Source organism: Homo sapiens, chromosome 2, assembly GCF_000001405.40.
Source record: "Homo sapiens chromosome 2, GRCh38.p14 Primary Assembly".
In the NCBI taxonomy this organism is placed as follows: Eukaryota; Metazoa; Chordata; class Mammalia; order Primates; family Hominidae; genus Homo; species Homo sapiens.
In genome coordinates, this window is record NC_000002.12 from 33,533,171 (window position 1) to 33,547,430 (window position 14,260).

At 40.5% G+C, this 14,260-nt stretch overlaps 1 protein-coding gene across 16 annotated transcripts in view; it reads left to right on the plus strand.

Annotated features, from left to right (window-relative positions):
- Nucleotides 1–14,260, plus strand: part of RASGRP3 (RAS guanyl releasing protein 3) — a 128,384-nt gene that overhangs the window by 96,823 nt on the left and 17,301 nt on the right. For 9 of the 16 annotated variants that reach the window (NM_001349975.2, NM_170672.3, XM_011532746.4 and 6 more), the window contains 3 exons: nt 1,153–1,230; nt 5,924–6,040; nt 10,342–10,457. In NM_001349975.2, coding sequence (NP_001336904.1) covers nt 1,153–1,230; nt 5,924–6,040; nt 10,342–10,457 — 311 coding nt within the window. The remainder of the gene's footprint in view (nt 1–1,152; nt 1,231–5,923; nt 6,041–10,341; nt 10,458–14,260) is intronic. The other 7 variants (NM_001349978.2, NM_001349979.2, NM_001349980.2 and 4 more) reach the window with 1 other exon arrangement.

Below are 14,260 nucleotides of genomic sequence, written 5' to 3' on the forward strand. Positions count from 1 at the left end.
GGTTTATTTTAAGCCTCATGACTTCTGTTTTAGGTGAGTGGAAACATGCACTGTAAGGCTTTACAGAGTTTATCCATGTTCTCCAGCCTGGATCTGTGTTGTTGTCCTTGCCTACAATGATCTTCCTCTCTCTTTTGTCCAAATTAAGTCCCAATCCTCCTGGTTAAGTCCCAATTCACAAGGACCTCCATGAATCCATCCTGATCATTTCTGTCTCCGGGGCCCCTATGCATAGTAATAATATAACTAATAACAAATGCGATAATAACAGTAACATTAACACTATAAAATAACACTTCTTGAGATTTTATTGTGTACCAGGTCCTGTGTGAAATACTTTACATGCATTATTTCATTTGGTCCTGACACAAATCCAACTCAGTAGGGACTTTTATGATCATTTCCATTTTCCAGATGCAGAAACTGAGTGTCAGAGAGGAAATTACTTGCTAAAGGTTACAGAGCTAGCCAGTGGCAGGCTGCATGCTTGAACCCAGCCCTGCCTGACCACACAGCCTCTGCCCTCGTGTATTTACTATGCTGCCTCCCTGATTTCTGACCGGTTCCTGGAGCACTTAAAGTGGAGCAACTACTTCACACTCAGCATGTGCTGTTTTATTGCTACGAACACATCTTTTTAGGTTCAGGCCCTGTTTATTCAAATAAATTATCAGGGCCTTGAGGGCAAGAAATGATTTTATATCAGCTTGCCTCACTAGGACTTAGCACAATGCTCTCAAATAATAGGAGCCTAGTTAACTGCTCCTTTATTTCAACAGTTCTTTAATCAAACTTCAAAGGCAGCATTTATTACATTTACAAGTCTTATTGTTTGCATCTGTCCCCACTTCCAGCCTGGAAACATCACATATCCCTCATCCGTGACTCAGCACTGAGCACCTGGGAGCTGCTCAGTAAATATTGCTGAGGAATTGAGTTGATGGTTCTCGTCAATACTGATGATTAACCAGGATTAACGTTTTCTCTTTTAAATTTCATTTTCCATCTCTGCGTGCCGTCTTTTTATTGTTCTGCATTTACTCAAATTATTAGACAGTGAACTTAAAACATTCAACTTGAAAAAAAATTCAGCAACGTAAATAAATAAATAAATGTAATCCGACATTTTTATCCCTTCTAATTTTGTTGTAGCTTTCCCTGGACCTCTATCACACTGAAGATGATATTTACAAACTGTCACTGGTGCTGGAGCCTAGAAATTCTAAATCGGTAGGTATTATTTTCTCTCCAAGGATCAGTACCAATCACTATTTTTTGTCATGTACAGTAATTGGCTATTACAATGCTGCTTTATGTTCTAAAACGGAAGAATTTTAAAAATTGACATTATTCTTTCTTTTTCTTTTTTCTTTTTTGAGGCGGAGTCTTGCACTGTTGCCTGGGCTGGAGTGCAATGGTGCGATCTCGGCTCACTGAAACCTCCGCCTCCTGGGTTCATGTGATTCTCCTGCTTCAGCCTCCCAAGTAGCTAGAATTATAGGTGCACACTGCCACACCCAGCAATTTTTTTTTTTTTTTTTTTTGTATTTTTAGTAGAGATGGGGATTTCACTATGTTGGCCCCGGCTGGTCTCGAACTACTGACTTCATGATCCGCTTGCCGTGGCCATTACAGGCTTGGATTACAGGCATGAGTCACCACGCCCGGCCATTATTCCCATTTTATCAATGGGACAGCTTAGCCCTGTCAGTTTGAGAATTATGTCTTCATACCAGAGGCTAATAAAGAGGAAGAACATCATTCTCATTACTCTGTTTTATAATTGATCTTCTATTTGTTGTGTTCCTGCTAAGAACTCATTACACCTAGGACCAAAAAGAAAGGAAAGGAGTAATAACTCATCTTAATGTTAAAGATCATTTAGACTGTTTCAGGCTTTAAAAAAGCTCCATTCAACATAAAATTAGATTTAAAATTTTAAACATCTCGATCATAATTTACAAATTTCTCTACTAACCATTGATTCAACTCAGAATTTGGATGTCACATTGGATGGTGTCTCACTTAATAGATGGCAGACGCTTAGTAAATAAACATTATATAATGAGATTGAAGAAATTGCATTATTGAATATACACCACTCATTGGTTTTAGTGGATGGACTATATTTTAGATATGCTTTGCACTAATACAAAATGCCTGGATGAGTTTAAAATTTATAATGAGGTTGAGGCTTGCATGTTGAAGATAAAATGCCTATGCTTGCTTCTTATAATCACATCTTGAGATCAGTTCTCTTATAAAGATCTCATCCTTACCAGCTGAACTCTGTAACATATTGGCAGTGACTATGCCCCCTAAGTTTATTAATACCTACTGTGATTCTGAACCCTCAGACCGAAAGAGACAGAATGGCAGTGAGAGCCGTCCTCTGGCCCTGGCAGGGCATGCACTTGAGCCTGAGTCAGCTGACCTGGTAGCATCTGTTCTTAAAATAGTGCATATGCTTCCATGAGCATGTTCTCCTTCCTGCCAGTCCCCAGAGGCTCATCTCCTGGAAATACTGCAGAACAGAGCCACGTGGGATGATATGGCACATGCAATGGTAGGAGTGAGGACCCAGACTCTTTAAAGCTAGCAAGAGTAAGAAAGCTAGCAAGAAAGCCAAAGCTATTGAAAACCAAAAAGGAATTTGTAAGCCCCTCCCTAATTCTGTAGTTTTGTCATGACGAACCTGGCCATGGTGTATTAAGCCCTATTGTATGTGTGCATACAGAATTTCCACCTCTTGACACCAATTAGGCACCAGAATCGCTTCCAGTTGTTGAATGCCTGGCAGAGCATCATACACAGGTTATCTTATTAACTCCGTTAAGAAAACTAGGTCTGGGCCAGGCACAGTGGCTCACACCTGTAATCCCAGCACTTTGGGAGGCCGAGGCAGGCAGATCACTTGAGGTCAGGAGTTTGAGACCAGCCTGGCCAACATGGAGAACCTTGTCTCTACTAAAAATACAAAAATTAGCCGGGCATGCTAGCATGTGCCTGTAGTTCCAGCTACTTAGGAGGCTGAGGCGGGAGGATCACTCGAATCCAGGAGGCAGAGGTTGCAGTGAGCTGAGATCACGCCACTGCACTCCAGGCTGGGCAACAGAGCAAGACTCCATCTCAAAAAAAAAAATTTAAAAAAGAAAAAAAAAAAAAAACGACAGAAAGAAAAAAGAAAGAAAACTAGGTCTGGTGAGAGTAGGTATCTCACTCGGATCAAACAGCTGCTAAGTTGGAGAGCTGGGATTCAGTGTCAGGCCTGTCTTCCATCCCAGTGATGTTTCTACCATCCCTCATCTCAGGGACAACTTAGGAATAGCCATTTTACCACACTTGCCTGCCTTGTGTGCCTTTAGTTTTACTTTAGTTTATTTTCAGGATCTTTTTTTTTTCCAATTTTAGGAGATATTTCCATCAAACATAGAAAAGTCTTTTTATTTGTTGTAAGAGTAGAAGCTTTTGAAAGTCCCTTCTAAGTGCTAAAATCCTACGAATCTAACACAAGACATTTCCCAGTCTCTTTCTGTCTCTTCTCTAAGTGGAGTGTCAGCCTATTTGACATGTCCTGTTGAGATGGGAGAGTTCCCTGGATCCCTTCACTGAGACTTGCGACAGAGGTGTGGCCACATTCAAGCCCTTTGCTGGAGGGGAACATACAGACAAGTGGGTGCCGGCGTGGGGGCCGGGGAGAGTGCTTTTGGGCTCTGGCCCCAAGACAGCATCTAGGGGTGTGTTACAGTTAATGCTCTTTTAGCAGTTGCTGTCCATGGATGGCTAAGTCTTAACCAGCTCAGTGGAGAGTCAGGGTGACAGCCTTTTACACCCTACCTTCTTGGTACCTGAGTCCTTGTCTGGCATCTAAGAAGAATCAGGTCACATGGACTTGAAGGATGGTGAAGGCAGAGGTTTTATTGAATGACAGAGGTGGCTCTTAGCAGGATGGGGAGCTGGAAAGGGGATGGAGTGGGAAGATAATTGTATTAGGGTTCTCTTAGAGGGACAGAACTAATAGGATATATATATATATATATCTCAAAACTCCTGTGCTGATCAGTAGTGAGATGGTGCCTGTGAATAACCACTGCACTCCAGCCTGGGCAACATAGTGAGACCCTGTCTCTAAAATACACACACACACACACCGCCCCCCCCACACACACACACAAGTATATATATCTATAAATGTAATTTTTTTTTTTGAAACGGAGTCTTGCTGTGTCTCCCAGGCTGGAGTACCGTGGCAATCTCAGCTCACTGCAACCTCCACCTCCCTGGCTCAAGCAATTCTCCTGCCTCAGCCTCCCAAGTAGCTTGGACTACAGGCATGTGCCACCACATCCGGCTAATTTTTTTCTATTTTTAGTAGACAGGGAGTTTCACCATGTTGGCCAGGCTGGTCTCAAACTCCTGGCCTCAGGTGATCCACCTGCCTCAGCCTCCCAAAGTGCTGGGATTACAGGTGTGAGCCACTGTACCCAGCCTCTATAAATATAAATTAAAAAGAAAAGATAGAAAAAAATAGATTTGCATGTGTGCACCAGCAAAAATGTTGACATTTTATGAAGGTTTCAGGGAGAGGATATAAAGTGAACACCAGTCTTGGCTGGTCTCCTGAAAGGATTGTGTTCTGTGCTTGTGTTATCCAAGCATGTTATGCATTGTGCTACCATCTTCCCCACAACTTTATATGCAAATGTCTTGTAAGAATGCAGAAAAATCTGTGGAGAAAGAAAGTTCACCAAAGAGGGCCAGAGAGACCTAATGATTGGCAGAACAGTCAGAAGTGCTTAAGCGTATTGAGCAAGGTGCAGACGTAAGGACATAAACTTGGCCACCCACTGGTACCCATTTGCTGCATGCACCATAACTGATCACTAAGTATTAGAGAATTAGATAACTGGTGTTTTTGTATCCTGTATTACACAAAAATCCATGATGGATTGTTATATAAAAGTTTTAGTGATATTTGGAGAACTCGGATAGGATTTTTGGATGGACTGGGAGCGCATTGCTTTTTTCCCATTTAAAATAATGGAATTTAGTCTGGATGTGGTGACTCACACCTGTAATCCCAGCACTTTGGGAGGCCAAGGCAGGTGGATCATCTGAGGTCAGGAGTTCGAGACCAGCCTGGCCAACATGGTGGAAACCCGTCTCTACTAAAATTACAAAAATTAGCTGGGCTTGATGGTGGGTATCTGTAATACCAGCTACTTGGGAGGCTGAGGCACAAGAATCGCTTGAACTTGGGAGGCAGAGGTTTCAGTGAGCCGAGATCATGCCACTGCACTCCAGCCTGGGTGACAGAGAGAGACTCTGTCTCAAAATAAATAAATAAATAAATAAATAATAAAAATAAAATAATAGAATTTAAGTTGCTGTTAAACAAAAGGCAGTATCTAAACATGCATTTAGTTACAGATTAGATTCCATTAACATAAGATGCTTGTTTTATAAGCATTTAATAGCTATATAAATGTAAGTTTCTACTGGTATTATGAATATACAAAACTTATTCATTCTTCTCAGTGTCCCTGGTCCTAGTTGTTCAAGGCCCCAGTTAATGTTGAAAAATATGGCCAGGCGTGGTAGCTCATGCCTATAATCCCGGCACTTTGGGAGGCTGAGGCCGGAGAATTGCTTGAGCCCAGGAGTTAGAGACCAGCCTGTGCAACATGGTGAAACCCCATTTGTACTAAATATACAAAAATTAGCTGGGCGTGGTGGCACACACCTGTAGTCCTAGATACTTGGGAGGCTGAGGTGGAAGGATGGCTTGAGCCCAGGAGGCAGAAATTGTAGTGAGCCGAAATTACACCACTGCACTCCAGCCTGGGCGACAGAACCAGACCCTGTCTCAAAATAATAATAATAATAAAGTTGAAAAATATGTGGTTTTTTTTTTGTTTATCAGCAGCCTACCTCCCCTACGACGCCCAACAAGCCTGTGGTACCCCTGGAGTGGGCATTAGGGGTGATGCCAAAGCCAGACCCCACGGTCATCAACAAGCACATAAGGAAATTAGTGGAGGTAAGTGGTTGAGGGAGAATAAAGAGAGGGCACTAGAAGACCCTTTCTCTTTCCAGAATGTTCTGCGATTGTCCAGGAATCTGATGGAACCCCTGAAAACAACCCTCTGGCAGGTAGGAACAATTTAGCAGGCACTTAGTCCTACCAGGCATTGGGTCCTGGGGAGAGTCGATCAGAAAGGCCCTTTTCCCTTTGTTGTCTCTCTTGCCCAGATACTCTCAGCTACTTCCAGCTCCTCTCTTTCACAGGCATTTGCCACCTCTGTCATTGTCAACAGCTCAAGGGATTGGGGATTAGAATCACTCATGAAAAACCCACATAGGTCCCACTAAGATGCCCAATAAATTGATTACCCAAGGGCAGGAAAGAAATCCTGTAAGTTGGATAGTTTCTCCTTTTGTATAGTTTTGGAATTTTATGACACAGCAGCCCGATGTTACTGAGATTAGAAAAATCACCTAATGTAGGACAAGGCTCTGTCAGAGTTTTCCGTGTAGAAAAAAGAGTAGGGCCGGGCGCGGTGGCTCACGCCTGTAATCCCAGCACTTGGGAGGCCGAGGCGGGCGGATCACGAGGTCAGGAGATCGAGACCACGGTGAAACCCTGTCCCTACTAAAAATACAAAAAATTAGCCGGGCGCGATGGCGGGCGCCTGCAGTCTCAGCTACTCAGGAGGCAGAGGCAGGAGAATGGAGTGAACCCGGGAAGCAGAGCTTGCAGTGAGGTGAGATCGCGCCACTGCACTCCAGCCTGGGAGACAGAGTGAGACTCCGTCTGAAAAAAAAAAAAAGAAAAGAAAAGAAAAGAAAAAAGAGTAGAAGTGCCGATGGGGGAACACGGAAACATCTCGGGTACAGGAAACTGCGATCCTGAATTAAATGTCTACTTTAATGGATTGGTAGGTACATCTGCTGGTGCAACAGAATTGAGTCTTTGGGATAGAATGTGCTTTTTGCTGGGAGAAGATATTTAAAGAAAAAGAAAGAATGTCTTACATCTTGGATAATTCAGAAAACTAGGAGGTGCTGAAAGAAAAATTTTGCGGAGTGTGTTAGGCAGGCAGGAAAATGGTGGTGCCAAGAGGAATATTAGTGAGGGAAGGGCTGAGAAGGAGATAAGGTCCAGTGGAGCCCGTGGTAGTAACAGACCCAGCTTGGAGCTGGGGAAGGTGAGAAAAGGATCCAGGGGTCCCCAGGGAATGCAAGGACTGAGCTGCAGCTCAGGAATGTCTGAAGCCAGGAAATAGAAGGCAGAGCTGTTCCCTCTCCCAGTCTCATTCTACATACTGACTTCCTCAGTCCACATGCGGAATTTCTCTCTCTCTCTCTCTCTCTGTGTGTGTGTTTTGTGTGTGTGTGTGTGTGTGTGTGTGTGTGTGTGTGTGTGTGTGTGTGTCTGGGGAATTTCTCTCTCTCTCTCTCTCTCTCTCTGTCTCATTCTGTCTTCCTTACCTTTTCTCTCTTCCCTTTTCTCCAAATTCCTTACCATTGGTTCAGTCAAATAAAAGACCAGGATTTTATGATGAATTTTACTCCGCAAAAAATCTTCTACTCGTGGTATAAATATGGATGTTAAACTATAAATAGTAGGCATTCCAAAATAGTTAACTTTTAAGCTATTTTTATTATGGCTAAGTAATGATACTGGAATTAAAAAAAAAAAGGTAATGTTTTCTGATTTTGCACAATTCTGTTACCTACAAAAAAGCTTGAGATGGGCTCATTTTAGTCACATTTTTAATTAATTCATTCATTTATACCTTACCTACTTCCCAAAATACTTGCAACACAGGGCAATAGCGATAGATAGAATAGACAGAAACTACTGGGAATTAATTAAAACTGGAGATTAATTAAAACTGGAATCAAAATCAAATATAAATTTGTATACATGTGTTTGCAGAAAGAACTTACAAATCTTTTTGAAAACCTAATTTTGCAGAGGGCAATGGGAAACTTTTTTTATTCTTCTCTGATTATAAAGGAAGATAGAATCATCAAAAATATTAAAGCATTACATAAATTATAGAAAATAAAAAGCTTTACTTTCAGGTCTTGGTAATTCTATTCTCCAAGGATAACCACTGATCATTTGTAGATTATCTAATATGACTTTATTCTCTATCTCTACATATGTATAAACACACATATACTACATACATATATACATGTGTATCTTACGCAACTTTGTTCGATTATTTCTTTAGGACAGATTCCTAGAAGTGGAATTGCTGTGTCAGAGAGTAGGCACTTAAAATTCCTGATTGTCCTCCAGAAATATTGTGGCTATTTACGTCACTAACTTGATACAAGAGTACCTGTTGTCTCATACCCTAGAAGATGATCGATTACAGTATTTTAAGATTTTATTTAATCTGAGAGGTGAAAAAAAGCTTCATTAATGTTTCTGTAATGATTAGCTGAGCTGAATAACTTTCCATGGATGTATTGACCATTTGTATTTTTATTTGGTGATTGCCTGTTTGACTTTTGTGTCTTTGCTCTCATATATGCTGCAAATAACTTGCTCTGTTTGACATTTATCTTAAAATTTGTTAATTGAGCTTTTTTGGTTCAATTTTTTTGCATTTTATTAAATAAAATATTTTTCTTTATGGCTTCTGACATTGATGTCATGCCAAGAAAGGCCTTTTTCACACAAAGATTATGAAACATGAAAAATATTTTCATCTATTTATCTTTGGTACTTTTATAGCTTTGGGTTTTTTTGCATTAAACTATATAATACACTAGTGCAGTGGCTCATGCCTATAATCCCAGCACTTTGGGAGGCTGATGCAGGAGGATGGAGTTTGATTCTAGGAGTTTGAGGCTGCAGTGAGCTATGATCATGCCACTGCACTGTAGCCTGGGCAACAGAGTGAGATCCTGTCTCTAAAAAGAAAAATAAATAAATAATATATAATACATCTAGAATTTAGTTTGGAGGTAATTTATTTTGTAAGATTATTAGTCATTTAACTCAACAGCAGTTATTGGATAATCCATAATTTATCTGTGGATTTTAAAAGATACTTTTTGATAAATTCCTATACATACATGGGTTTGTTTCAGGACTCCACTCTCTGTGGTAATTTGTATCATGTTGTTTTGATTAATGTAGCTGTGTAGAATATTTGATTTCTGAAAGGGCATGTTCCCCCTCATTACTCTTCATTTAAAATAATTTTTAGCCTGTTTTCAACATGCCCACTTTGATTTGAACTTTATAATCAATTTGTTCATTTAAAATAAATCCCTACTGGGATTTTGATTGGAATTGCATTAAATGTATGCTTTAATTTTTGAGATAACACCTTAAAACTTTATTTTCTATTGTCATGGTATTTGAATTTGTAAATTCACTAAGCCAATTTCTACTCAACCCTGAGGTTTCAGTTTAAACCTTGCTTTTCCCAGGAAACCTTTCTTAATCCACCTCCTCTTTCCCCCCCCCACCAATATCACTCTATTTTATTTATTTGTTTATTGAGACAGAGTTTTGCTATTGTTGCCCAGGCTGGAGTGCAATGGCGCCATCTTGGCTCACTGCAACCTCCTCCTCCCAGGTTCAAGCGATTCTCGTGCCTCAGCCCCCTGAGTAGCTGGGATTGCAGGCATATGCCACCATGCCCAGCTAATTTCTTATTTTATTTTATTTTTAGTAGCGATGGGGTTTCATCATGTTGGTCAGGGTGGTCTTGAATTCCTGACCTCAGGTGATCCACCTGCTTCAGCCTCCTAAAGTGCTAGGATTGCAGGCATGAGCCACCGCGCCCAGCCGAAGTTTTATTTTTAATTTTATTTAAAATTTATTTTTTAGAGATGATGCCTTACTCGTTTGCCCAGGCTACAGTGCAGCGGTGTGATCTTGGCTCATTGTAACCTCAAACTCCTGGGCTGAGCAAGTCTCCTGCCTCAGCCTCACAAGTGGCTGGGACTATAGGCATGCACCACCGTGCCCAGCTAATTAAAAATGTTTTTTTGTAGCAATGAGGTCTCTCTATATTGCTCAGGCTGGTCTCAAACTCTTGGGCTCAAGTGATCTTCCCACCTCTGCCTCCAACTCCCAAAGTGCTGGGATTACAGGTGTGAGCCACCACATCCAACCATTACTCTGTTTTTATCCTCATCAAACCACTTGTCTTGTTATATTATAAAGGCTTCTTGACTTAGTTATCTTTCACTAGATTCTAACCTCCTTGATAGAAAGGATCATATGCTAGTTATCGTTGCTTTTGCAATAACAAGTTCAGAGCCTGCCTTATAGTCATTCAATAAATACTTATCTTTCCTTTGCAGTCTGTATTTAGAAACTATGATCACGACCATGATGGGTACATTTCCCAAGAGGACTTTGAAAGTATAGCTGCCAATTTTCCCTTCTTGGATTCCTTCTGTGTTCTGGACAAAGATCAGTAAGTTTTAATTTTGTTTTATTTTAATGCAACTATCCTAAAGCAGAAAATTATTATCAGAGGAGAGAAGGGAAACTTGTAATTTGCATCTTGACAGCTTCAACCCTGGTGCTTTGATGAGCCAGGTTTAATTTGTCACTGATTATTTTCTTGGTGTGTATGAACATGACCTGAATGGAATCACAGGGAAGACCATGTTGTCAGTGTTGAACACAAGTGCACATTTGTAAATTATCCAAGCACTCCATTTGCTATATTGCTTCTATTGCTTAGCTCTCAACCTCAAAAAATCTCCACCAAAAAAGAGTAGAGGAGAAATATTGTTAGATCTAACCTGGGAGAGTCCTCAAAATTAGTGCACCTGGAAGCAATCTTAAAATTCATGAAGATTTTAAAAAAATTTTGGCCAGGCATGGTGACTCATGCCTGTAATCCCAGCACTTTGGGAGGCTGAGGCAGGCAGATCACTTGAGGCCAGGAGTTAAAGACCAGCCTGGCCAACATGGTGAAACTCTGTCTCTACTAAAAATACAAAAATTCACTGGGCATGGTGGCACAGGCCTGTAATCCCAGCTACTTGGGTGGCTGAGGCGGGAGAATTGCTTGAGCCTGGGAGGCAGAGGTTGCAGTGAGCTGAGATAGCACCATTGCACCCCAGTCTGGGTGACTGAGTGAGACTCTGTCTCAAAAAAAAAAAACTCACTTATAGTCTTCATTAAAGCAGATGATAGCTGCAGACAGCCAAGAAGCATTCATGCTTTGTTTTCTCTTTGATTGATCAAAGGTTGTCTTGATAAAGAAAAAATATATTGCTTTTTAGCGTCAAATGATTCCTAAAAATTAAATCGCTTTAGATACTAAAACCCAACTCATTAAAAGAAAATAATGATCTGAAAAAAAAAACTGCTGAGAAATCCTGGCATTAATAATTTGATTAATTGTTAATAGTACGAGATTAGTTCCTAATTTAAAAATCACCTGTAAGGAAATGCTGGATTTTGTTTTGGTAAAATGGGCAAATTAAATTACATTAAAATTCTCTAATATTTTTGCTGGTATGAGAATTCTTAAAAAACGAAATCTGGAGCCGGATGCGATACCTCACACCTGTAATGCCAGCACTGTGGGAGGCTGAGATAGTAGGATTATTTGAAGACAGGAGTTTGAGACCAGCCTGGGCAACATAGTGGGAACCTTGTCTCTAACTATTTTTTTTTAATTGAATTTAAAAAATAAAATCTGTAATTCAACACACCAAGAAAAGTCTTGACACATTAACATAACTTAAAATCTTAAATTCATCTTCATTATATACCCAGAACAAAGAATACTTTTAAAATAAATTTAATTAGAAACATTAACTTCCTTTACAAAGTAAAATTTAAATTGCCTGCTAACTACCCACTTCTTTGCTTAGTTTGTTACTATTAGTGACATGTAAATAGGACATTGACTTAAAATAACTTCCTAGTCTTCATTTCTTTTATCTGTTGGTTCTAGAGACAAAATTGAGATTGTCCTAGCAAATATTTGTGTCTATCTCTATCTCTATATCATCCTTATCTCTACTTATTGATATCTATAGAATTGTTTTCTATGAATGAAGGTTTGGACTATTCATATCTTGCTTACATGACACTAAAGTTTTGAGTGGTTAATACTGGAAAGTCTCAAAAAGATGTTTTCTCTAAGGTACTGTTTTCCAAACGATGTTCCACAGAAGTAGCTATTAATTAGTACTTTTGAAAAAGGAACTAAGTAGTCACATGTGAGAAACACAGGGTTAAATCTCATTAAATAGGTGTCTTTACTGTGTGACTTCCCAAAGCTTTTAATAGGCTGGTGTATTACGCTGTGAGTCCCTAGGAGGGGAGATGAGCTAATGCACTGTTACACAAATTTATGTACCAAATGATGTAATAAATTTGTGGGACAATGCATTCATAAATTCATTTATCATATATATAATAAAGATTGTTTTTGGCCTCTTCATTATGAAATCTGTGCCCATTCCTTTGAGTAGGCAAAGGACATGAATAGACACTTCTGTAAAGAAGACATACATGTGGACAATAAGCATATGAAAAAAAGCTCAATATCACTGATAATTAGAGAAATGCAAATCAAAACTACGATGAGATATCACCTCACACCAGTCAGAATGGCTATTATTATTATTATTATTACTTTTCTTTGAGACAGAGTCTCGTTCTTTTGCCCAAGCTGGAGTGCACTGGCACAATCTCGGCTTATTGCAACCTCTGCCTCCTGGGTTCAAGTGATTCTCATGCCTGAGCCTCCTGAGTAGCTGGTTATAGGCATGCACCACCACGCCAGGCAATTTTTTTTTTCTTTTTTTTTCAGTAGAAACGAGGTTTCATCATGTTGGCCAGGCTGTTCTTGAACTCCTGAACTCAGGTGATCCACCTGCCTTGGCCTCCCAAAGTTCTGGGATTCCAGGCGTGAGCCACCGTGCCCAGCCAAGAATGGCTATTACTAGAAAGTCTAAAAATTGGCTGGGCGCTGTGGCCCACGCCTGTAATCCCAGAACTTTGGGAGGCTGAGGTGGGTGGATCACGATGTCAGGAGATCAAGACCATCCTGGCTAACACGGTGAAACTCTGTCTCTACTAAAAATACAAAAAATTAGCCAGGCTTGGTGGCGGGCCCCTGTAGTCCCAGCTACTCGGGAGGCTGAGGCAGGAGAATGGCATGAACCCGCGAGGCGGAGCTTGCAGTGAGCCAAGATCGCACCACTGCACTCCAGCCTGGACGACAGAGCAAGACTCCGTCTCAAAAAAAAAAAAAAAAGAAAGTCAAAAAATAACAGATGCTAGTGAAGTTGCAGAGGAAAGGGAACACTTATACACTGTTGGGAGTATAATTCATTCAACCATTGTGGAAAGCAGTATGGCGATTCCTCAAGCAGCTAAAAACAGAACTACACTTCAACCCAGCAATCCCATTACTGGGTATATACCCAGAGGAATAGAAATCATTCTACAGTAAAGACACAGGCATATGAGTGTTCATTGCAGCACTATTCAAATATCAAAGTCATGTAATCAACCTAAATGCCCATCAATAACAGATTGGATAAAGAAAATGTGGTACATATACATCATGGACTATTATGCAGCCATAAAAAAGAACGAGATTGCCAGGCACGGTGGCTCATGCCTGTAATCCCAGCACTTTGGGAGGCTGAGGCAGGCGGAACACCTGAGTCGGGAGCTCGAGACCAGTCTGACCAACATGGAGAAACCCCATCTCTACTGAAAATACAAAAATTAGCCGGGCGTGGTGACACATGTCGGAGGCTGAGGCAGGAGAATCACTTGAACCCAAGAGGGAGAGGTTGTGGTGAGCCAAGATCGCACCATTGCACTCCAGCCTGGGTAACAAGAGCGAATCTCTGTCTCAGGGAAAAAAAAAAAAAAAAAAAAAGAGAGAGAGAATGAGATCATGTGTTTTGCAGGAACGCGGATGGAAGTGGAGGCTATCATCCCTAGCAAACTAACGCAGGAACAGAAAACCAAATACCACAGGTTCTCACTTCTAAGTGAGAGCTAAATGATGAGAACTCAAGAACACAAAGAAGGGAATAAGAGACGCTGGTGCCTCCTTGATGGCGGACGTTTGGAGGAGCAGAAAAAATAACTGTTAGGTGCTAGGCTGTGCCAAATTTCCCCGCAAGCTTGAGAATATAGAATCCTTTTTTTTTTTTTTTTTTTTTTTTTTTTTGCCTCCTACGCAAAATAACTTTAATAATACTTATAAAGTACAAAAATCAAAGTTATTTT